At 47.0% G+C, this 25,264-nt stretch overlaps 1 protein-coding gene across 1 annotated transcript in view, besides 3 other annotated features; it reads right to left on the minus strand.

Annotated features, from left to right (window-relative positions):
- Positions 1 to 25,264, minus strand: part of PRKX (protein kinase cAMP-dependent X-linked catalytic subunit) — a 109,310-nt gene that overhangs the window by 76,945 nt on the left and 7,101 nt on the right. The gene's annotated exons all lie outside the window — the stretch shown is intronic.
- Positions 14,324 to 14,618: a silencer, noted in NCBI's record as "tiled region #13686; HepG2 Repressive non-DNase unmatched - State 24:Quies". NCBI's record gives its function as "represses a minimal TATA promoter and a strong SV40 promoter by Sharpr-MPRA in HepG2 cells {active_cell/tissue: HepG2}" and the evidence as "EXISTENCE:reporter gene assay evidence [ECO:0000049][PMID:27701403]".
- Positions 18,794 to 18,863: an enhancer, noted in NCBI's record as "active region_29374". NCBI's record gives its function as "activates an Ori minimal core promoter by ATAC-STARR-seq in GM12878 lymphoblastoid cells {active_cell/tissue: GM12878}" and the evidence as "EXISTENCE:reporter gene assay evidence [ECO:0000049][PMID:35858748]".
- Positions 20,698 to 21,299: an enhancer, noted in NCBI's record as "OCT4-NANOG-H3K4me1 hESC enhancer chrX:3620023-3620624 (GRCh37/hg19 assembly coordinates)". NCBI's record gives its function as "activates a minimal SCP1, AML or CMV promoter by ChIP-STARR-seq in naive H9 embryonic stem cells {active_cell/tissue: H9 hESC(naive)}" and the evidence as "EXISTENCE:reporter gene assay evidence [ECO:0000049][PMID:30033119]".

Below are 25,264 nucleotides of genomic sequence, written 5' to 3' on the forward strand. Positions count from 1 at the left end.
GAAGCAGGAGGATTGCTTGAGCCCAGGAGGTTGAGACCAGCCAGGGCAACATAGTGAGACCCTGCCTCTATTTAGAAAAGAAATAGGCCGGGCACAGTAGCTCACACCTGTAATCCCAGTGCTTTGGGAGGCCAACATGGGAGGATCGCTTGAGCCCAGGAGTTTGAGATCAGCCTGGACAACACAGTGAGACCCCAGCCTCTACTAAAAATACAAAAAAATTAGCCAGGCATGGTGGCGGGTACCTGTAATCCCAGCTACTCCAAAGGCATGAGAATGTCTTGAACCAGGGAGCAGGAGGTTGCAGAGAGCTGAGATTGCACCACTGCACTGCAGCCTGGGCAACAGAGGGAGATTTTGTCTCAAAAAAAAATTTTTTTTAAATAATAAATATATCTCTCTTGGTTCAAAAATCTAAAGAGAAATAATTTTTTTAAATGTACAAAGCGAGGTATGAGAAAGAACAGAAAACACATTTCTCACTGTGAAAAGAGATGGCCTTTTCCTCTCTTCCTCAAGCCCAGCAAACCCTAAATCCCTCTTGCCTGTGACTTTGGAGGGAAGGAAGGAGGCGGCCAGCAGAGAGAGAAGCAAAGACAGCAGGCCACCGTGTTTATCATCACGATGCCCATTCATACTAAAGAAGTGTCCAGAAAGAGGAGAAACACGGATTTAAGTTTCTTTGGTTATATTTTTAAATTTTGCTAGAACTCAAAACACTTCAGGAGAGCTGTATGGAATAAACACAGGGACCGTGACATGGAATTTCACGCGGTCACAAAACGGAAAAGAAACCAACCAACCCTGAGTACTTTCCCTTGGGGTCCGTGGGTATATGGGATGGGGTCAGGAAGGTGACGGGAGAAGGACCGTGTCTCACTGCAGCACATTCCCGGGAGTAGATTCACGGATGATCTCAGACACCAACAGCTGACACCATCTGAGCCCAGTTCTTCCTCTGTGCTGCAAGAGCAACGCCGCACAGCTAGCTCGGCCTTTCACAGGTCACCTAAACACAGCCAATCTCCCCTCTCCCCACTTTGTGTGCATTGAATGGGGTGCCCTGGAAAAGATACGTTGACATCCTAATCCTTGGTACCTGTGAATGGGACCTTAGTTGCAAACAGGGTCTTTGCAGATGTGATTAAGATATACACAAAGGCTGGGCACAGTGGCTCACCCCTGTAATCCCAGCACAGGAGTTTGAGACCAGCCTGGGCAACACAGCAAGACCTCAGCTCCACTTTTTTAAAAAATGAAATAAAAAAAAAGGTATATATTAAGGTGAGGTCATCCTGAAGGTGGTGCAATATGAGTGGTGAACTAATAAGGAGACACAGACGCAGAGGGGAAGGCCACGTGGAGAAAGAGGCAGAGAGTACAGTGATGCGGCCACAAGCCCAGGGACACTTGGAGCCCCCAGCAGCTGGGAGAGGCAGGAAGGAGCTTCCCCTGGAGCCTCCAGAAACAACTGGATACAACTGTAGTGGACTGAACTATGGTCTCCCAGAAAGATATGTCCATGTCCTGACCCACAGAACCTGTAAATGAGACCTCATTTGGGAAAAGGGTCTTTGCAGATGTAATTAAGTTAAAGATCTCAAGGTGAGGTCATCCAAAATTGGAGTGGACCCTAAACACAATGACGGGTGTTCCTGTAAGAGAAGAAGAGAAGACACAGACACAGAGGAGAAGGCCATGTGGAGACGGAGGCAGAGACCGCAGTGATGCGGCCACAAGCTCAGGGACGCCTGGAGCCCCCAGGAGCTGGGAGAGGCAGGAAGGAGCCTCCCCTAGAGCCCGCAGAGGGAGCACAGCCCTGCCGCATCTGCACTTCAGAGTTGTGGTCTCCAGGACTGTGAAACAATTAACTTCTGTTATTTTAAGGCACCCAGTCTGTGGTATGTTACCAAAGCAAATATGCCCAAGGGGTACAAATTCAACCAAATAGTTCCAAATTTAGCCAAGTACATTCCCTAGCAATGCTGCGAGCTCACAGTCAAAGGTATAACTCCACCATCTCTGAGAACCTGAGAGAGGCTTCCAGGGTGGTCTGAACTGTGCAGACCTCAGCAAACAGCAACATCCCAGGAAAGAGTGGGGCTAAGAAGCTACTAATCCCTATTCCTACAAAGGCAGCCTAGACATGTCTGAGCCTTCCCAGGCCGATCACTAAGGAATGTCCACAACGCAGAGCCGCCCCAAACATGGGAGAAGACAGAAGTCTTCAAAGGAGCCGAGATGAAAAACCAAGTTCAAATTGTAAACTAGGCTGGGCAGGGTGGCTCACGCTTGTAAGTCCAGCACTTTGGGAGGCCTAGATGGTGGGATCACTTGAGGCCGGGAGTTCAAGACCTGCCTGGGCAACATAGCGAGATCCCAGCTACAAAAATAAAAATAAAAAATTACCCAGGTGTGGTGGTGCACAGCCGTCGTCCCAACTACTTGGGAGGCTGAGGTGGGAGGATTGCCTGAGCCTGGGAGGTCGAGGCTGCAGTGAGCTAAGATCGCATCACTGCACTCCAGCCTGGGCAACAGAGCAAGACCCTGTCTCAAAACAAAAAATGACAACAACAAAAACAAATAGGAAACTAATGGCTGATATTTTAGTCATCTGTACATAAATCCCTTCATAATCTTTACTGAGGTAAGAACCACATTTTCATCCAAAAAAAACAAGGTAGTTGGCCAGGCACAGTGGCTCACACCTGTAATCCCAGCACTTCGGGAGGCCAAGGCAGGTGGATCACAAGGTCAGGAGTTCAAGATCAGCCTGACCAACATGGTGAAACCCCGTCTCTACTAAAAATACAAAAATTAGCCGGGTGGTAGTGGCGCGCTCCTGTAATCCCAGCTACTCAGGAGGCTGAGACAGGAGAATCGCTTGAACCCGGGAGGTGGAGGTTACAGTGAGCCAAGATTGCGCCACTGCACTCCAGCCTGGGCAACAGAGCGAGACTCCGTCTCAAAAAAACAAAAACAAACAAACGAACAAAATAAGGTAGTTAAGCAAGAATTTGGTAGGAGTGGTCACAGGGAGAGATTACTTTCTGGGTCTCAATCTTTCCCTCTATCAAGTGTTGGTTATTTCTTTTCATCAGTACAAATATTCTGAGGTGCATAAAGATCTGACTTAAGCTTCATCTCATTCAGCTTCTGCAGTATTCGCTACTCTCTGTTGAAAAAAAAAATCTAGTGGCTAAACGTAAATGAAAAAAAGTACCTATTAATTACACTCTGACCTCGGTTCATCCTGGGAAAGGGTTTCAGGGCTCATAATTGTGGCAGACTTCTATGTAAATAAAGTACTTTGCTCGAACTACTGTAATAACCTAACACAGACTGGAGGACTTAAAGAGAACTTTCTTCTCTCACAGTCCTGGAGGCTGGAAGTCGGAGACCCAGGTGTGGGCAGGGCTGGTTCCTCCTGAGGCCTCTCTCCTAGGCTTGTCGATGCCATCTTCTCCCTGTGTCCTCACAGGGTCGTCCTCTATGTGCGTCTGTGTCCTCATCTCTGTTTTTATTTATTTTTTATTTATTTCTACTTTGTGAGATAGAGTCCTGCTCTGTGGCCCAGACTGGAGTGTAGTGGCACGATCACAGCTCACTGCAACCTCCACCTCCTGGGTTCAAGCGATCCTCCGGCCTCAGCCTCCCAAGTAGCTGGGATTACAGGCATGTGCCACCACAGCCAGCTAATTTTTGTATTTTTAGTAGAGATGGGGTTTAACCATGTTGGCCAGGCTGGTCTCAAACTCCTGACCTCAAGTGATTCGCCTGCCTCAGCCTCTCAAAGTGCTGGGATTACACGCATGAGCCACAACGCCTGGCCTAAAATAATTCTTGCATACACACTTTCCATCTTGGGTCCTTCCTGAGGATAAACCCACCTGAACAGGGCACCTGTTCCTTCCTTCAGCCCTTCCCTCCTTCTTTCATCGGTTTCCTTCCTTCTTTCCTCTCATTCCATCTTTCCATCCTCCTTTCTCCCTTCCTTCCCTCTCCTTTCCTTCCTTTCTCCCTACTTTCTTCCTTCCCTCCTTCTCTCTTTCTCTCCTTCCTACTTTTTTCCTTCCTCAGCCATCTCACTACTAAGCCTCATTCAAGAGGCGTCATCCCATCACGGTTAAAAGCTGTGTGACCTTGACAAGCCCCCTAACCTCTCTAAAATTCATCTACCAAATAGGGATCATAATCTTTACCCCCACTGGGTTTAAGTGAAATAACACACAGAAAGCACATCACACAGAATAATAAACGTAGTAAATGAATGCATCTGTAAGCGTGAAAACATTCAAACATCGGCTTCCCAAATGTCCCATGTGGCAGTGGTTACCCAGCCCTATCCATTTGGCAAGGACTCCTCCCAGTGTGCACTTCAAATGGGTGATTTTGTTGTATGTACACCGGAATAACACTGACCCGCCTCCCCCAAGATAGGCTAAGAGGAATTTAAAAAAAAAAAGAAAAAGTAAGCAAAACCAGGCTCGGTGGCGCATGTCTGTAATCCCAGCACTTTGGAAGGCCAAGGCAGGTGGATCACTGGAGCCCAGGCGTCCAAGACCAGCCCAGGCAACATGGTGAAACCCTGTCTCTACAAAAAATTTAAAAATTAGCTGGGCATGGTGGCGCACATCTGTGGTCCCAGTTACGCAGGAGGCTGAGCAGGGAGGATCTCTTGAGCCCAGGAGGTAGAGGCTGCAATGAGTGCCATGACTGCACCACTGCACTCCAGCCTGGGAGACAGAGCAAGACCCCCTCTCAACAACAACAACAAAAAGTAAGCTTCACAGAAGCAGAGCTGGTGTGTGTTTCTTCTTATTCTGCGTGGCACTGAATGTAGACATTCATGAGGACCTGTGGGCTGAACAGCACAGCTCACCTTCCAGAATCAAGGATCTCACACCAGTAAGTGGGGGCTGAGAGCAAAATCTCCTGCCACAGGGAAATGGATAAGAAGAGGAGTTTGTACTCCCAACTCAGCTCCTTTATTCCAAAAGTCTGATATGTCCAAAACATAAGTCTTAAGATGCCCATTGAAGACACGTAGGCAGGTTCCATCTGTACCAGGTCTGGGAAACAATGTCTCTACTTACGATCCCAGAATGAAAGCTGATGATTTTTTTTTTTTTTTTGGACATGGGGTCTCACTCTGTTGCCCAGGCTGGTCTTGAACTCCTGGCTTCAAGCAATCTTCCACCTCAGCGCCCCAAAGTGTCAGAATTGCAAGCGTGAGCCACTACACCTGGCCTTGAACATAGTTACTTTGTTTTAAATCTTTTTTTTTTTTTGAGACAGAGTCTCATTCTGTCACCCAGGCTGGAGTTCAGTGGCGCGATCTCAGCTCACTGCAACCTCCACCTCCTGGGTTCAAGCGATTTTTCTGCCTCAGCCTCCAGAGTAGCTGGGATTACAGGTGCCTGCCACTACGCCCGACTAATTCTTGTAGTTTTAGTAGACACGGGGTTTCACCATGTTGGCCAGGCTGGTCTCCAACTCCTGACCTCAGGTGATCCGCCCACCTCGCCTCCCAAAGTGCTGGGATCACAGGCGTGAGCCATCACGCAGACCAAATCTATTTTTTAATTATGGTAAAATACGCACAACATAAAATTTACCATCTTAATTAACCATTTTGAAGTGTACAGATTAACGGTGTTAAATACATTCACAATGTTATCCAACCAACACCACCAACCATCTCCACTTGGACTTACTTTTATTTATTTTTAATTAATTAATTAATTTTTTTTAAGAGACAGGTCTCACTCTGTGCCACAGGCTAGAGTGCAGTGATGCAATCTCGGCTCACTGCAGCATAAACTCCTGGGCTCAAGCCATCAGCCCACCTCAGCCTCCCAAGTAGCTGGTACTACAGGCATGCGCCACCATGTCTGGCTAATTTTGTTTTTGAGATCTCACTTTTTCACCCAGGCTGGTCTCAAAGTCAAGGGATCCTCCCACCTCAGCCTCCCAAAGTGCTAGAATTACAGGCATGAGCCACTGCGCCCAGACTTAACTTACTTTTAATGGGAAAAGTCACATGCAGGTCCTCAGTAAGCAGATTAACTTAGCCAATAATAAGGTAACATAATGAGAAATCATGTGGGTGAGACAGCAAATGGCTGATGTCAAAGTAACTTGGATAACAAAAATCACTAATTTTTTAGATGTTTTGAGGATTATACACCTAAGAGGTAAGTGCCTTAATAAACTGTAAATGCCAGTCAACTATAAGAATTCCTAAGGCTCAAACACAGCTGGCACAACAGTCCCTGAATTAAACACATGCATTGTCCATCACCACCCTGCACACTCACCCCACATATTTTAAATAATCTGCATTTCTTTCCTTAAACTGTGATGCTTAAGGAATCTTGAACATGGGCATCCCAGGGGCTAAAAAAAAACAGGATGCACCAATTCAATGGGGGAGAGAAGGTGAGGGTGGATGAGCCCTAATTCTCCCTAAAATGCAGGAGAAAAAAAACCCCAAACAGGCCAATGTTGAGACATCATGACCAGAAATCTTTGCAAGAGGAGAGCGTCACAGTGGCTCCGCTGAGACACCAAGGACAGCATCGTGTTCCTCATGGACACTCCAAGAGAGGTGGCTACATGGAAAATACACTTCAAAAAAGGTAAAACCCCATCCTGGCCAACATGGGAAAACCCCATCTCTACTAAAAATACAAAAAATTGGCTGGGCGTGACAGCACATGCCTGTAATCCCAGCTACTTGGGAGGCTGAGGCAGGAGAATTGCTTGAACCCAGGAGGCAGAGACTACAATGAGGCAAGATCACACCACTGCACTCCAGCCTGGGCGACAGAGCAAGACTCTGTCTCAAAAAACAAACAAACAAAAAAGGTAAAACCCAGCTGGGCGCGCTGGCTCACGCCTGTAATCCCAGCACTTTGGGAGGCCGAGGCAGGTGGATGATCTGAGGCCAAGAGTTCGAGACCAGCCCAGCCAACATGGTGAAACCCCATCTCTACTAAAAATACAACGATTAGCCGGGCATGGTGGCAGGCACCTGTAACCCCAGCTACTCAGGAGGCTGAGGCAGGAGAATTGCTTAAACCTGGGAAGCGGAGGCTGCAGTGAGCCAAGATCACACCACTGCATTCCAGCCTGGGCGACAGAGCGAGACTCTGTCTCCAAAGAAAAAAAAAAGGTTAACTCAAGAAGTGGGCACAGCCCCCATCCATCTTGTCTACAGCCTGGGAGGCCAGTTACCTGCCACATTAGCTTGGGAGGGAACATGCTCTTGTTCCACACCTATAGATGGGTGGAGGCCAGGAGCAGTGGCTCATGCCTGTAATCCCAGCACTTTAGAAGGCTGAAGCAGAAGGATCACTTGAGCCCAGGAGATCGAGACTAGCCTGGGCAACATAGCCAGACACCATCTATAAAAAAAAAAAATTTTTTTTAATGAGCCGGGTGTGGTGGTATGCTCCAGTAGTCCCAGCTACTCATGAGGCAGAGATGGGAGAATTGCTTGAGCCCGGGAGTTGGAGGCTGCAGTGAATTATGATAGTACCACTGCATTCCAGCCTGGGCAAAAGAGCGGGACCCCCATCTGTTTAAAAAAAAAAAAAAAAAGTGAGGCTCTTCTCCATAAGTGATAATTTGCTTCTATATTGAGAAAGGACTTTGGAGAAATATACAAGACACATTAATATGGGCACCTGGGTGGAAGGAGAGGGCAAATTCTGCACAGGTGAGGCACAAAAACAGATGCATTTCACTATATAACTTTCTCACCTTTTAAAATTTATGACTATAGAAATAGTTCATCAACATAGGTTCAATTTATGTTAAATTGATAAGTGAAACCGACGCATTGCATTAAATAATTGTTTCAAAATAATGATATCAGAACGTACACATTTATCATCCTCAAACTCAGTTCTTTTCCTTGACATTTTCCCCCCTGGGTAAAATCAATAAAAGAACATTAAATGCTACCATGGAGGAAATAAGTGTGTGAAACACGCAGTTCTTCTTTACGAAGTCGATTTTTGGAATTACTGCTGCAAACAAGTATAATGACCTTCTATTTTATAGACAGGAAAAAAAGCTGTTAAAAAGTATTTTTAAAAAAGAGTGTGTGTTGCCAGGCATGGTGGCTCGTGCCTATAATCCCAGAACTTTGGGAGGCCACGGAAGGACATCAGTTCAGGAGTCCTAGACCAGCCTGGGTAACATAACGAGACCCCGTCTCTATTAAAAGATCAAAAAATTAGCAGGGCGTGGTGGTTACACACCTGCAGTCCAAGTTACCTGGGAAGCTGAGGCAGGAGGATCACTTGAGCCCAGGAGTTCAAGACAGCAGTGAGTAGTGATCGCACCCCTGTGCTCTAACTTGGGTGAGAGAGCAAGACTCTGTCTCAAAAAATGAATGAATGGGCTGGGCGCGGTGGCTCACACCTGTAATCCCAACACTTTGGGAGGCCAAGGCGGGCGGATCACAAGGTCAGGAGATCGAGACCATCCTGGCTAACACGGTGAAACCCTGTCTCCACTAAAAATACAAAAAATTAGCCGAGTGTGGTGGCGGAAGCCTGTAGTCCCAGCTACTCAGGAGGCTGGGGCAGGAGGATGGCGTGAACCCGGGAGGCAGAGCTTGCAGTGAGCCGAGATGGCACCACTGCACTCCAGCCTGCGTGACAGAGCAAGACTCTGTCTCGAAAAAAACAAAACAAACAAAAAACAGTGTGCTTACTCTGTGAATAAACTGAAAACTAAAGAACTATGTGTTTTTAAAGGGTGAATCTTATGGTATAGAAATTGTATCTCTATAAACAATGTTTACTTTAGAAAAGAATGTATGCTTTGGATATTCTTGGGAAGGTATTTTTTATTTATATTGCTGCTATAACCAGTGGGTGGGGGAGGAACAAGATATATTTTTAAGCTTGGAATATTTACTTCAAACTTCAGTTAAAAACAGTAGAGCCAATTCAGCCAAGCAGTGTGTGGTAGATAGTTTGGTGAGTTCACTGGTCTAGACAGTTGGAAACAAACTCCCTCAAAATTTTGCTGAGTCAAACAACATTCCATTTTTACACTGTCCTAATTTAAAAGATGCAGATGTTTCAGAACTACACTCTCCGATGTACAGTGTATTAAATTACACTTTCTCATCAGAAATACAAAATGTGGCCGTGAGTAGTGGCTCACACCTGTAATCCCCACAGTTGGGAAGCCAAGGTGGGCGGATCACTTGAGCACAGGAGTTCAAGACCAGGCTAGACAACAAAGCAAAACCCCATCTCTACTAAAAACACAAAAAACAGCCAGGCATGGTGGCATGCGACTATAGTCCCAGCTACTTGGGAGGCTGAGGCAGGAGGATCACTTGAGCCTGGGGGCGGGGGTTGCAGTGAGCTATGATCACACCACTGCACTCCAGCCTAGGTGACAGAGCGAGACCCTGTCCCAAAAAACAACAACAAAATACAAAATGTATAATCACAGAAGTGAAAAGAAAAACAAGAAATTCTCATCTTCTCCCACAACACTAACAGATGTGAAGCCAGGGAAAGGTTCGTGATTTCTGGCTCAGTGTATTTATACAAGCACAGTATGTGCAGCTTTCAATAACATTTGAGTGCAACTCTACCAAGAAAAACAAGGGCTGGTTTTCACACATCTACAATACAATCCAGCCAGGTTAAAGATACATCCTAGCCTACCTCCACGATAGTGTTGCGGGATAAATCAGAGACGGTAGAGACCGAGCACAGTTAGGAGATGACCATTATAATTATAATTATTAAGGTGATCACCAGCTCAGTCGGACTAGGGTCTAGAAAGTCTGAGCCCCGTACAGAGGGATCAATCACCTTTTAAGCAGTTTGTGGCGGGAGTTACGTGCTGCAGAAAGCGTACTTGCAGAAGCGAGAACAAAGGCAGTTAATTACTCTTTTGCATTTGTTACACCGTACGTCTTACATTCTTGGGAATACATACTTTTGCAGCAATTGCTTGTCAACCTTGTGACTTTACAGCTGCACTAGGGAGGGAAGCAAGAACTCGCCGTGCCTCAAGGAATGTAAAACGATGGAACACAGATAAGCCTCTCTGGGCATAGAGGAGGGATAAGCAGTTAGTATTCTCTCTTAACCCAGTCCCCCCGCCCCGGGGGAGTGGGCTACATTACATTCTACCTTCAAGAAAAATAACAATTTTTCGACCATTACACTTATAAAATTCATTAATTCCCCCTTCAATAGGATGCAACAATCCCGCAGGACTCCCCCGAATTACCCTTGAGATCAGCTTCTCAAACTGAGTCCATTAACATTTGGAGCTGGATGATTCTCTGTGGTGGGGCCATCCTGTGCACTGTAAGGTGGCAAGCAGTGACCCTGGACTCCACCCACCTGTTATCAGTAGCACCTCCCTGAGCTGTGACAACAAAAATGTCTCCAGACTTGTCCAGGGAAGAAGTATCTCCCTGATGGAGCTGAATTGCCATTGGCAGAGAATCTCTGCCACAGACAGATAGAAAGATAGGTAGATGGGTATGATAGACAGATAGATGGATAGATAGAAAGATGATTGATTGATTGAATGACTGACTGGATGGATGGATGGATGGATGGACAATGGGTATGATACATACATGGAAAGAGAAAGATGATACACTGATTAATTGATTGGATGGATGGATGGATGGGTAGGTGGGTAGGTAGATAGGTAACAGATAGGATAGATAGGTGATACATAGATAATTAGGATGGTTAGATAATTGATAGGTAGGTAGGTAGGTAGATAACAGATGGGATGGGTGGAGGGGGGAGGGAGGGAGAGCGAGAGTGGGGAGGGGAGAGAGGGGGAGAGAGAGAGAGAGACAGAAAGAGAGAGACTGACTCTCACGCTAAAGCAGGTTCTCTCAGCCTAGCACTGCCGACATTTGAGGCTGGATGATTCTCTGTAGGGCCATCCTGTGCACTGCAAACCTGCAGAGTGGCGTCCCTGGGCTCCACTCACCACACGCCATCAGCATCCACCCCCAGTAGTGACAACCACAACTGTCCCCAGACACTGTCAAGTGCCCTGTGGGGGAAGGCCGGCCCCCAGTTGAGACCCCCTGTTTTGGAGCAAGCACTGCCCGTAGTATCGCCTGCAATGATAGGAATGTTCTCTATCTGCACTGTCCAAAATGGTAGCCACAAGCTCACAAGTGGCTACTGAGGATTTGAATTGAGGCTATGGAGAGTAAGCAACTGAACTTTTTTTTTTTTTTTTTTGAGACGGAGTCTCGCTCTGTCACCCAGGCTGGAGTGCAGTGGCGCGATCTCAGCTCACTGCAAGCTCCGTCTCCCAGGTTCACGCCATTCTCCTGCCTCAGCCTCCTGAGTAGCTGGGACTACAGGCACCCACCACCACGCCTGGCTAATTTTTTGTATTTCTAGTAGAGACAGAGTTTCACCACGTTAGCCAGGATGGTCTCAATCTCCTGACCTCGTGGTCCACCCGCCTCAGCCTCCCAAAGTGCTGGGATTACAGGCGTGAGCCACGGCGCCAGGTCGTAAGCAACTGAACTTTTATTGCATTTAATGTTAGATGGCTTTAGAGTTCCTACCACTGAGACACACTGAATTCTTTGATTAGGTGTCGGCTTCTAACACTCCATAACCACAATGAAGTGGTTTATGCAGTCCAGGTTTTGAACACAAAATAGCTTTTGGGAAAAAAAAGGAGTCAATATAATAAATGAATGCATCACTTCCATCATGATTGATATTTTCCTGGGTCTCAGGTGCTGTCTACCTCCGAGAAACTGCAATGAACAACACAAGGTTGGTCCCTCATTTAGTTTTGTTTAGTTCCAGTCGGGCTGGAAGGAGGGCAGGAAGCATTAATGACAGTAAGTCTAACAACTTGGGTGACCTCACATGAGTTTGTTCAGACTTGAGGACTTCAAACAACATATCCATAGGAGAACATTGGGATGCATCTAACCTTGGTCAAGGGGTCAGGGAAGGCCTCTTTAAGAAGTAAAATTTCCAGTGAAAATGGGAAGGTGGTGGAGATGGAGGGTTAAAGTCCTGTTCATAAGGTGCTTGGGCAGAGAATGGGCTCAATTAGGCTGCAAGAGGGAGGGTGGAGATGATCACAGCTTAGGGTTTGGGCATCTACGCAGTGAGTGCTGCCGACTTAGGCAAGGTGTGCAGGTGCACAGGGGTCTTTTGGGTTGCTTTGATTTGGGGGAAGAAGGGGACACATTTCATGTTTAACCCAGGGGATGTATTGAGATTGAGGGATAGACTAGGTTGAATGGTGCCCCCCAAAAATATGTCTACATCCTAACCCCTGGTGCCTGTGAATGGCGTCTTATTTGAAAATAGGGTTTTTGAGGCCGGGCGCGGTGGCTCACGCCTGTAATCCCAGCACTTTGGGAGGCTGAGGCGGACGGATCACGAGGTCAGGAGATAGAGACCATCCTGGCTAACGAGGTGAAACCGCGTCTCTACTAAAAATACAAAAAAAAATTAGCCGGGTGTGGTGGCGGGTGCCTGTAGTCCCAGCTACTTGGGAGGCTGAGGCAGGAGAATGGCGTGAACCCGGGAGGTGGAGCTTGCAGTGAGCCGAGATTGCGCCACTGCACTCCAGCCTGGACAACAGAGGGAGACTCCGTCTCAAAAAAAAAAAAAAAAAAAAGAAAAGAAAATAGGGTCTTTGTAGTTTCTATTAAGTAAACAATCTCCAGATAAGGCCATCCTGGATTTAGGGTGGGACCTAAATCCAACAACGGGTGTCCTTCTAAGAGACAGAAGAGGAAAAAAGAGTAATAATAAAAAATGGCCAGTGAGCATGGTGGCTCACACCTGTAATCCCAGCACTTTGGGAGGCCAAGGCGGGTGGATCACCTGAGGACAGGAGTTCGAGACCAGCCTGGCCAACATGGTGAAATCCCGTCTCCACTAAAAATATAAAAAATAAGCCAGGCGTGGTGTCGGGTGCCTATAATCCCAGCTACTGAGGAGGCTGAGGCAGGAGAATCATTTGAACCCGGGAGGCAGAGGTTACAGTGAGCCGAGATGATGCCACTGCACTCCAGCCTGGGCAAAAGAGCGAAACTCCATCACCAAAAAAAATAAAAAATAAATAAATAAATAAATTATTTAAAAAAATAAAGAGCCAGATGAGGAGACACAGACACAGAGGAGAAGGCCACATGGAGACGGAGGCAGACTGGAGTGATATAGCCACAAGCCCAGGGATGCCTGGAGCCCCCAGGAGCTGGGAGATGCAGAAAGGATCCTCCCCTAGAGCCTCCAGAAGGAACTGCATACAACTCTAGTAGACTGAACTGTGGTCCCCACAAAGATATATTCACATCCTCATGTCCAGAACCTGGAATGGGAACTTATTTGGAAATAAGGAACTTTGCAAACGTGATTAAGCTAGGGATCTTGAGATGAGATCGCGCTGGAAAAGGGTGGGCCCTAAATCCAATGACCAGTGTACTTCTAAGAGACAGAAGAGGAGACACAGGCACAGATGAGAAGGCCACGTGGAGACAGAGGCAGAGACTGGAGTGCTGTGGCCACAAGCCCAGGGATGCCTGGAGCCCCCAGGAGCCGGGAGAGGCAGGAAGCTTCCTCCCCCAGAGCCTCCAGAGGGAGCACAATCCTGCCTGCACTTTGATTTCAGACTCCTGGTGTCCAGGCCTGGGAGAGCATAAATTTCTGTTGCTTGCGTTCCCCAGTTTATGGTAATTTGAGACAATGGAGCAGGACACTCATATAAGAGTGTTGCTGGATATCTTGGGAAAAATGGACCCTCCAACGGGCAGTAGTTGGCAATGCACCCTTCAGGGCTCCTAAGAAAGGTCTAAACTAGATGTGTGCTTTGAGACCCAAAGCCTTAAGATGATAACTGAAGTCACAGGCACAGATGAGATCACCCTTCTAATTTATTTAATGCAATGTTTTTCTTTTAACTTTCAGCAGTCCCATATAAAGCTCTTCCTTCCTCTTTCTCTTTTATTGTAACATCCTATTTTTGTGGATGGAGACAATATCCTCTCCAACTCTTCAAAAAAGATGTCTCAAAGTGAGATTTTTTGTTTTCTCTTATATTTCCCTTTTGGATTTTCTTGTTTTGTTTTGCTTTTGTTTTTGTTTTTGAGACAGGATCTTGTTCTGTCGCCCAGGCTGGAGTGCAGTGGCGCAATCTTAGCTCAGTGCAGCCTTGAACTCCCAGGCTCAAGCAATCCTCCCACCTCAGCCTCCTGAGTAGCTGGGACTAAGGTGTGTGCCACCACACTCAGCTAATTTTTGTATTTTTTGTAGAGATAGGGTCTCCCTATGTTGCCCAGGCTGGTCTCAAACTTCTGGGCTCAAGCAATCTTCCCACTCGACCTCCCAAAGTTTGAGTCACAGCGCACATGACCCCCTTTTGCTTTTAATCTTCTCTTAGGTTCTCCGAATGATCTGTCATTTCTGGGACCACATGTCTTTACTTCCATTAAGCTCTCCCACAGTTTCACTGATAGCTAGATGCCAGATTCATGGTGGTTTTCCTAAGAATGACACATCAGAAAGAGTGCCTCAGGTTTCTTCGGTGTAAATGATGCTGGGGGACAGCACTATCCTGGAGTGCCACCACCCCGCTGTCTTCTGTAGCTCTCTCCTACCCAGTGCCTGCCTTTTCATTTCCTTCTATTTCTTTACAAAGAAAACCCTACTGGTGAAAGCTTGCATCCTCCCAAAATTCCCGTGTTGAATCCTCATCCCCAAGGTGATGATGTTAGCAGGTGGGGCCTTTGGGAGGTGTTGAGGTCATGAGGGTGGAGCCTCATGAATGGGATCAATGTCCTTATTAAAGGGACCCTAGAGAGCTCCCTCACCCTTTCCACCATGTGAGGACACAGTGAGAAGGCGCCGTCTATGAACCAGGAAGCCCTCACCAGACACCGAATGTGCCACGCCTTGATCTGTGACTCCCAGCCTCCAGAACTGGGAGCAATAAATGTCTGTTTAAGCCCCCCAGTCTATGATACAGACACTCCTCAACTTACAATGATGACATTACACCCCATAAACCCTTTGTAAGTTGAAAATATGGTAAGTCAAAAATGCATCGAATACACCTAACTTACGAACATCACAGCTTAGCCCAGCCTGCCCTAAACGTGCTCGCAACATTTACATTAGCCTACAACTGGGCAAAATCACCTAACGTGAAGCCTAGTTTACAATCAAGTATTGAATGCCTCATGTAATTTACTGAATACTGCACTGCAAGTTAAAAACAGAACAGTTGCATGGGTACTCGAAGCGCGGGTTCCACGGACTGTGTCTTTCTCACCATCGTAAAATCAAAAAATCTTCAATCGAACTATCCTAACTCAAACTACCATAACTCAAACCATCATAAATGGAATCATCATAAATTAGGGATCTTCTTTATAAGACAGACTTTTTTTTGTTTGGCTGGACGCGGTGGCTCACAACTGTAATCCCAGCTCTTCGGGAGGCCGAGGGAGGCGGATCACTTGAGGTCAGGAGTTTGAGACCAGCCTGGCCAACAAGGCAAAACTCTGTCCCTACTAAAAAAACAAAAAATAGCCAAGCATGGTGGCATGTGCCTGTAATCCCACCTACTTGAGAGGCTGAGGCACGAGAATCACTTGAACCCGGGAGGTGGAGGTTGGGGTGAGCCAAGATTGCATCACTGCACTCCAGCCTGGGCGACAGAGCAAGACTGTCTCAAAAACAAACAAACAGAACAAACAAACAGACAAACAAACAAAAAGCTACCTACTCACCAGGCACAGTGGCTCATGCCTGTAATCCCAACACTTTGGGAGGCCGAGGCAGGAGGATTATTTGAGGCCAGAAGTCTGAGACCAGCTTGGATAATACGGCAAACCATCCCCACACCCCCATGTCTACTAAAAATACAAAAAATTAACCAAGTATGGTGGTATGTGCCTGTAGTCTCAGCTACTCGGGAAGGCGCGGCACGAGGACTGCTTGAGCCCAGGAGGTGAAGGCTGCAGTCAGCTATGATTACGCCACTGCACTCCAGCCTGGGTGACAAAGCAACACCCAGTTTCTAAAAAAAATAGAAAGAAGTCACTTGCTCTATCTTCACCATCCTGCTATTAAATTGGAGACCTGCTTCCTGCACACTCTGTTACTCCTTTATCTCCTGGGTCACTAATCTGAGAACAATCCTACTTCTTACTTTCCTTATCACCAGGCAATGTTTGTTTTCATTAATCACAATGTCCTTTTTTTTTTCTTTTTTTTTTAAGATGCGGTCTCACTCTGTCACCCAGGCTGGAGTAGAGTGGTGTGATTATGGCTCACTGCAGTTCCAACTTCCAGGCTCAGGCGATCGTCCTGCGTCAGCCTCCTGAGTAGCTGGGACCACAGGTGCTCGTCGCCATGCCCGGCTACACTTTTTTGTTTTTGTTTTTGTAGAGACAGGTTCTTACTGTGTCGCCTAGGCTGGCGTTGACCTCCCAGGCTCAAGCAGTCCTCCCGCCTCGGCCGCGCAAAATGCTGGGATGACAGGCATGGGCAACCGCACACAGCCATGAATCACCATGTTTTCTTTACACAGTCTGGGAACCCCAGCTGAGAGTCACACAGAACATGCTTTCTGGAACAAGGGCATCCCAAGGGAACAATTGACAAAATCGCCTTTTGGAGCACACACAGGTCTACCCAGGGGCACTCTCTGTTCTGCTCACTCAACAAGAACACCAGGCAGCCAGCTAGGGAACAGAGGATTCCTTTCCCACACAATGCGGCCATTCTTTCCTGAGCAGGTGGGTGGGCCAGCCGCTTAGTTTCATCTGAACATTTGCCAACATCCAAAGAATTAGAGTGTTTTCAGCAGCCTTAAGCGTTGTCATGAAATCAGCCAAAAACCTGTGATGCGTATGGCTGGGTGTACAACTACGGATCTTGTAGTGACTATCGTATATGCTGGCATACCACAGAGCCACAGACGCAGGAAGAAATGCAAAGCATCCTACTGAAAAAACTCACCAACTACATAGAAAGAAGCAATTTTTCTCTTTTTCTCTTTTTTATTTTTAGAGAGATGGGGTTTTGCTGTGTTGCCCAGGCTGGTCTCGAACTCCTGGGCCTTGAAAGGTGAGAGTGATCCTCCCACCTCGGCCTCCCAAAATGGTGCAATTACAGGCATGAGCCACCGTGTCCAGAAAAAGAAGTAGGTTTTCACTTTTTGTTGTTGTTGTTGTTGTTTTGTTTTTGTCTTTGTGGTTTTTTCTACATGTGTTTTGTTTTTTGTTTTTGTGTGTGTGTGTATTTTTTGAGACAGGGTCTCACTGCCGCTCAGGCTGGAGTGCAGTGGCATACACAGTGGTGTGATCTCGGCTCACTGCAACCTCCGCCTTCCGGGTTGAAGCGATTTTCGTGTCTCAGCCTCCCGAGTAGCTGGGATTACAGATGCCCGCCACCACACACCCGGCTAATTTTTGTAGTTTTGGTAGAGACAGAGTTTCACCATGTTGGCCAGGCTGGTCTCAAACTCCTGACTTCAAGTGATCCGCCCACCTCAGCTTCCCAAAGTGCTGGGATTACAGATGTGAGCCACCCCACCCAACCAGGTTTTCACTTTTAGAGAGGTGGAGAATCTATCCCAGACCACACACTCGCCCACCATCCCACAACTTCCAAAATTCTTTTTTTTTTTTTTTTGAGATGGAGTCTCGCTCTGTCACAGATGTGTGCCACCACGCCCAGCTAATTTTTATTTTATTTTTTTTTTTGAGACAGAGTGTCACTCTGTCGCCCAGGCTGGAGTACAGCGGCACCATCTCGGTTCACTGCAATCTCTGCCTCCCAGGTTCAAGCAATTCTCCTGCCTCAGCTTCCCAAGCAGCTGGGACTACAGGCGTGCACCACTACGCCCGGCTAATTTTTTGCATTTTAGGAGAGACGGGGTTTCACCATGTTGCCCAGGCTGGTCTCAAACTCCTAAGCTCAGGCAATCCACCCACCTCAGCCTCCCAAAGTGCTGGGATTACAGGCGGGAGCCACCGTGCCCGGCATTTTTTAAAGTTTTTCTTTTTCTTTTCTTTTTTTGAGGTGGAGTCTCACTCTGTCACCCAGGCTGGAGTGCAGTGGCACAATCTCAGCTCACTGCAACCACCGCCTGCCGGGTTCAAGTGATTCTCTCACGTCAGCCTCCCAAGTAGCTGGGATTACAAGCACCTGCCACCACGCCCAGCTATTTTTTTGTATTTTTAGTAGAGACGGGGTTTCACCATTATGGCCAGGATGGTCTCAAACTCCTGACCTCAGGTGATCCACCCGCCTTGGCCTCCCAAAGTGCTGGGATGACAGGAGTGAGCCACGGCGCCCAGCCAGGGTTTCACTCTTAAAGAGGTAGAGAATCTCCATCCCAGGTCACACACTTGCCCACCATCCCACAACTTCCAAAGTTCTAAATGAGCATCAGAAACACTACAGCCAAATGGCACAATTTCAATTGAGAATGCTTTCAGTGCAACCTTCCTGTTTATTTTTACTTTTCCCTTTGAAGGAAGACAAGCTCCCGGAACTCACACAGCTGTCCTGAAATGCATCGTATTTAAGGACATGCCTCTGTAGCAGGTGGCGGCTGCCTTGTTTTCTGCACTTATTTCTGTGGCTTTTTGGGTGAAGAGGAGACTGGGAGTGTTGATTACACAGAGGAGGAAGCTGGAGCTAAAACAGCACCAGCTGAGTAAGAGAAACTTAAAAAAAAGCAGAGCTCAATCAGAGCCTAATAGTCACAAGCTATGAACACATCAGACTACAAAAAACCAAAATTAGGCGGTGACCTTTGAAGGTCAAAAGGGATGGAGTTTCCTAACAGTTTTCCTCGGTTACAATTCTACTTCTTCTAGGACCCTCTGGCTTGTGACAGCCAAAGCACCAGCTCAGAATCTGTATCAAAATACAATGTTTCAGGAAATTCCAGAAACCTAAAACGAGTGGAAAAAACGAAAGAAAAACCAGAGCAAAACGCAATGTAACTGAAAACAGGAAGTTAACGGAGAAACATAAAGGAAACCCTAAGCTGTTTCTTTGCAAAGACTGATGAAATTGATAAACCAGAATCTATTCTCAAAATAAAATCCTAACCTATTTAAGGATAAACTAAACAAAAGCCTTAATACATAAAATCACGTCCAACAACAACTATTTGTATTCAACTATCCAGGGAATATTTTGAGTCGTTACTGATTTTTTTTCTATGTTTTTCTTTTACTTTTTTCTTCTCTTTTTTTTTCCTTCTTCTTTCTCTTTTTTCTTTTCTTTCTTTTCTTTCATGGTCTCACTCTGTCACCCAGGCTGGAGTACAATGGTGCAATCATAGCTCACTTCGACCTCGACCTCTTGGGCTCAAGTGATCCTCCCACCTCGGCCTCCCAAGTTGCTGGGACTACAGGCACGTGCCACCACGCCCAGCTAATTGTTTGTTGTTGTTGTTGTTGTTGTTTGTAGAGACAGGTTTTCACCATGTTGCCGAGGCTAGAGGCTAGTCTCGAACCCCTGGCCTCAAGCGCTCCACCCACCTCAACCTCCCAAAGTGTTGGGGGATTACAGGTGTTCAGCCACCAAGCCCAGCCCGAAAATCAATGAAGTTGACAAGACACAATCTGTTTTCAAAAGAAAATACTAAACTGTTTAAGGACGAACTAAAGAAAAGCTTTAATAAACAAAATCATTCTATTCCAGTGTCCAGGGAATATTTTGAGTCATTATGGACTTTTTTTCTATATAAATTATTTTTTTCTTCTGTTTTCTTTCTTCATCTTTTATTTCCTTTTCTTTTTTTCCTTTTCTTTCTTTTCTTTCAGAATGTTGCTCTGTCACTAAGGCTGGAGTGCAGTGGCGCCATCATAGCTCACTGCAGCCTCCAACTCCTGGGCTCAAATGATCCTCCTGCCTCAGCCTCCTGAACAGCTGGGATTATAGGTATGCGCCACCACACACGGCTGATTTTATTTTTTGTAAAGACAAGGTCTCACTATGTTGTCCAGGCTAGTCTAGAACTGCTAGCCTCAAATGATTCTCCCTCCTTGACCTCCCAAAGCACTAGGATTATAGGCGTGAGCCACTGTGTGTCGCCTACTTTTTCTGAAGGTGTCATTGTAAACAAAATCAACCAGCCCATGAAGAGGAAATTCTAGACAAGTTGCTTTCTCAGCACCTTTTGATTTTTGGAATCTCATCCAAGCTGGATTTTGCGATCTTTGAAGAATAATTCCCTATGACATTGTCTCCAACCATAAGCTAGTTCTGTCAGCGGCATCTGAACCAGAGCAACTCCATCTTGAAGAGGAGCTGGGTAAAATGAAGCTGAAGCCTGTTGGGCTGCATGCCCAGATGGTTAAGGCATTCTAAGTCACGGGATGAGATAGGAGGTCAGCACAAGATGCCGGTCATAAGGAGCTTGCTGATAAAACAGGTTGCGGTAAAGAAGCTGGCCAAATCCCACCCAAACCAAGATGGTGACAAGAGTGACCTCTGGTTGTCCTCACTGCTACACTCCCATCAGCGCCATGACAGTTTACAAATGCCACGGCAACGTCAGGAAGTTACCCTATTTGGTCTAAAAAGGGGAGGCACGAATAATTCACCTTTCGTTTACCATATAATCAAGAAATAGCCATAAAAATGGGCAACCAGCAGCCCTCGAAGCCACTCTGTCTATGGAGGAGCCATTCTTTTATTCCTCTACTTTCTCAATAAACTTGCTTTCACTTTACTCTATGGATTTGCCTTGAATTTTTTCTTGCACAAGATCCAAGAACCCTCTCTTGGTGTCTGGATATGGACCCCTTTCTGTTAACAGCTCTGTTCCCTCCACTCTTGTCCTCTCATTGCCAAGACTCCAACATAAGCATGCATACCCAAATAAACGCAGGCAGGCTTCACAGGGTCCCCCTCTGCCTGCCCATCCAAAGAGATCCCAGGTGCCCTAAGCATGACAAAGCACTTCTTTCTTCTGTGCCAAGGTTTCTCTGGCCACACCTGTGTGCAACCCTTTTGTTCTGCAAAATGACTCCCAAGGGAATGATTCACCAAGGTGAAAACATCCACCAAATTAGTTGTCAACGATTTTAAAAGAACCCTCCACAGGCTGCCCTCCAAATCTCTTTGATGGGGTACCTCCCCAGTATAACATCCAAAATAACTACCTCGGAGAATAATGTAATGCCCACACACAACGCATGCTAAGTAAATGGTAGCGTGGGTTGCAAGGATCTGTGTGGACTTGTGCAATTTAACAGGAACTGCGTGAGACAACTTCCTTTTTCTATGTCCTGGTGAAAAATTCCAGTGGATTTTTAAACAGGTACGAGGGCATGGAGGCCAGCAGGGAAGACATTGTATAGAAGGAAGGTCTATTTTTCTTTTTTTTTTTTTTAATTGAGGCAGGGTCTCACTCTGTCACACAAGCTAGAGTGCAGTAGCACAATCGCAGCTCACTGAAGCCTCTACCTCCCGAGCTCAAGCAATCCTCCCGTCTCAGCCCCCCGAATAGCTGGGACCACAGGCATGCGTCCCCATGCGTGGCTGACTTGTTTTCCCCCTTTGTAGCAGTGGGGTCTTCTTATGTTGCCCAGGCTGGTCTCAAACGTCTGGACTCAAGTGATCCTCTCACCCTGGCCTTCCAAAGTGCTGGGATTACACGTGTGAGCCAAAGCCCAGCCGTATTTTTCAAACATATTAAAGAATGACCAGGGTCTAACCTTGACAGTTCTGGATTAAGCAGGATGGAAAGGCCCAAACTAGTCATATGGACAGTTTTATGTCCTCCTCTCTTCTCTTCTCTCCACCTTATGAGAGAATGAGCTGGGCATGGTGGTGTGTCCCTGTAGTCCCAGCTACTTGGGAGACTGAGGCAGGAGGATCACTTGAGCCCTGTAGTTTGAGGCTGCAGCTGAGCTATTGATTGCACCCCTACTGCACTCCAGCCTGGGCGACAGAGCAACACCTTGTCTCTAAAAAACAAAACAAATAAAATCATGATAATCCCTTGACCTGGCCACTGTATCATCTGACAGAAGACATGAAAGGCTGGAAGAACTGCCCAGAGGTGTCCCACAGGAAATTCCTCCATAGGAAACTCACCATACTGGCAACAGCCTCCCACACTGATAACCTCTGTGTGGTCTCCTTAGACCACAGGAAGGTGGAAGCCATCAGTGCTGGAGGGGGAAGGAATTTCCATCCTCGCACCTGAGTCTCCTCTGCAAATCATTTACATCTTCGCTAAAGGTGTTCAGACAGGGTAGGGTGAGTCTCCTGGATGCCTATTCTGCCATCATGGGAGAATTGCTGGGAGGCTTCAAATGCATCTAATGTGTTTTTGGGTTTTTTTGGTTGTTTTTTTTTTTTTTTTTTTGAGATGGAGTCTCACTCTATCACCCCAGGTTGGAGTGCAGTGGCACAGACTCGGCTCACTGCAACCTCTATCTCCCGGGTTCAAGTGATTCTCCTGCCTCAGCCTCCTGAGTAGCTGGGATGACAGGCACCCACTACGGTGCCCAGCTAATTTTTGTATTTTTGGGTACAAACGGGGTTTTGTCATGTTGGCAAGGCTGGTTTCGAACTCCTGATCTCAAGTGATCTGCCCACCTCGGCCCCCAAATTGCTGGAATTACAGGTGTGAGCCCCCACACCCGGCCTCTAATGGCTATTTATCATGTTTTCTCCTACTCAGATCAAATGCAAATGCCAACTGGACTTTCACTTAAGATCCTAATGGGGAAGCAAAATGTCCATCATCCTGTCTCACCCAACACAGCACAGAATCGGAGACGCCGGGAAAACATGCCCACCCAAGAAATGCAGCGTGAAAACGCTCCAGAAAGGAGGAGCTTCTTGAAAGTATTGGTTGCATTAGTTTCATTCTTCTTGCACAAGGGAACCCTGGAAAAAAAGGGGCCTGCCAAGTTTACCCGCACACACGTATTACCAAATTCATCCACATGCCCAGGTTTCTGTGCAAACAATCTGCCCTCTAGCACCTGTGTTTCTGTCTTGCTCCTCCAGTAGGATACAAGATTTGCTTCTGGGATTCTAAAGTACATAGGTCAGGCAGGGCGTGGTGGCTCACGCCTGTAATCCCAGCACTTTGGGAGGCTAAACTGGGAGGATCACTCGAGGCCAAGAGTTCAAGACCAGCCTGGGCAACATGACGAGACTATCTCTACCAAAAAAAAATCAAAACAATAGCCTGGCGTGGTGATGCACACCTGCAGTCCCAGCTCCTCAGGAGGCTGAGGTGAGAGGATCCCTTGAGCCTGGGACGTCAATGCTGCAGTGACACCACGTCACTGCACTCCAGCCTGGGTGTCCGAGTGAGACCCTGTCCAAAAAAAAAAGGAGTGAGATAATGCCGTATTTGTCTCTCTGTGCCTGGCTCATTTCTCAGAGCATAATGACCTCCAGTTGCATCCACATTGTTGCAAATGACAGGACTTTATTCTTTTTACAGGCTGAATAGTACTCCATTGTGTAGAGACCACATTTTCTTCACCCAGTCATCTGCTGACGGGCAAGTGGGTTGTTGCCCTATCTTGGCTGTTGTGTGACTCGTGCTGCAGTGAACCTGGGAGTGCAGGTATCTCTTCACTGTATGTGGTTTTAAGCTACTATATTTGCGGTCCTTCATTCCAGCAGCCACGCAAGACTAAGACAGTGTGAAAGAGCATAAAAGAGGTAATGATAGACCAGCGCATTGCAGCTGCCTTTCCATGGACCCTGCCGCGTGGGGTGAATAGAGCCCCATCTAAATCCATTTCGGCTGCCATCACAAAACACGGCAGACTGGGGCTTAGAAACAACAGACATTTACCGCTGTCAGTCCTGGAGGCTACAAGTCCAAGATGAAGGTATGGGAGATTCAGAGTTTGGTGGGGACCGGCTTTCTAATTAACAGACGGTGCCATCTCACTGTGTCCTCATATAGTGGAAGGGGTGAGGGAGCTCTCTGGGGTCCCTTTTATAAGGACATTGATCCCATTCATGAGACCCCACCCTAGTGACCCCATCACCTCCTAAAAGCCCCACCTCCTAACACCATTACCTTGGGGATTAGGGTTTTGACATAAGAATCTTGGGGTGGGGGACACAAATATGATGATGGTGGCCCCAGACTTGGTTTTGGGACTGGACCCACCACAGTAGAGGACCACGGGGAGGCCACCTGGAGAAACAGGCAGAGGGAACCCGTCACACAGAAACATCGGTTCCACCTTCTCACACTGGGCTTACCAGGAAGCTTCTAACCACAGACTTTTCTAACAGGGAAAACGAGGTCACAATTCTAAGTAAAGCACTTTCAGCTTTTTGGAAGGGATGCCTTAGGGCTTCCTCTGTATTTCCCCCAAGGTTTTTCTTTTCTTTTTTTTTTTTTGAGACAGAGTCTTGCTCTGTCGCCCAGGCTGGAGTGCAGTGGTGTGATCTCGGCTCACTGCAAGCTCCACCTCCCGGGTTCATGCCATTCCGCTGCCTCAGCCTCCCCAGCAGCTGGGACTAACAGGCGCCCGCCACCACACCCGGCTAATTTTTTTTTGTATTTTTAGTAGAGACGGGGTTTCACCGTGTTAGCCAGGATGGTCTCGATCTCCTGACACTTCATGACCCGCCTGCCTCAGCCTCCCAAAGTGCTGGGATTACAGGCATGAGCCACCGCACCCGGCCGGTTTTTCTTTAAAAAAAAAAAAAAAACCACAATGTCATCAACATTACTACCTTTTTAAGATATATCTCTCACTCTTTTTTTCAACTTTACATATGCGATTTCATGCTGGAGAGAAGAGGAAACTGATGGATAGAAAAGGTTTACTTTTTGGAGACCCTACAGTGTGCCAGGCACTGTGTACTCATCTCCCTTGATACTTTCTTTATTTTTGACATAGGGTCTTGCTCTGTTGCCCAGGCTGGAACACAGTGGCACCATCATGGCTCAGTGCAGTCTCCACCTCCTGGGCTCAAGCAATCCTCCTGCCTCAGCCTCCCTAGTAGCTGGGACTACAGGTGCATTCCATCACACCCAGCTACTTAAAAAAATTTTTTTTTGTAGCGATGGGGTAGTGCTATATTGTCCAGACAGATCTTGAGCTCTTGGGCTCAAGTGATCCTCCCACCTCAGAGTCCCAAAGTGCTGGGTACAGGCGTGAGCCTCCACACCTGGCCTCCCTTGAATTTTTATTTTTTGAGACAAGGTCTCTGTCACCCAGGCTGGAATGCAGTAGCAC

The sequence above is a fragment of the Homo sapiens genome, chromosome X (assembly GCF_000001405.40).
Source record: "Homo sapiens chromosome X, GRCh38.p14 Primary Assembly".
Lineage (NCBI taxonomy): Eukaryota > Metazoa > Chordata > Mammalia > Primates > Hominidae > Homo > Homo sapiens.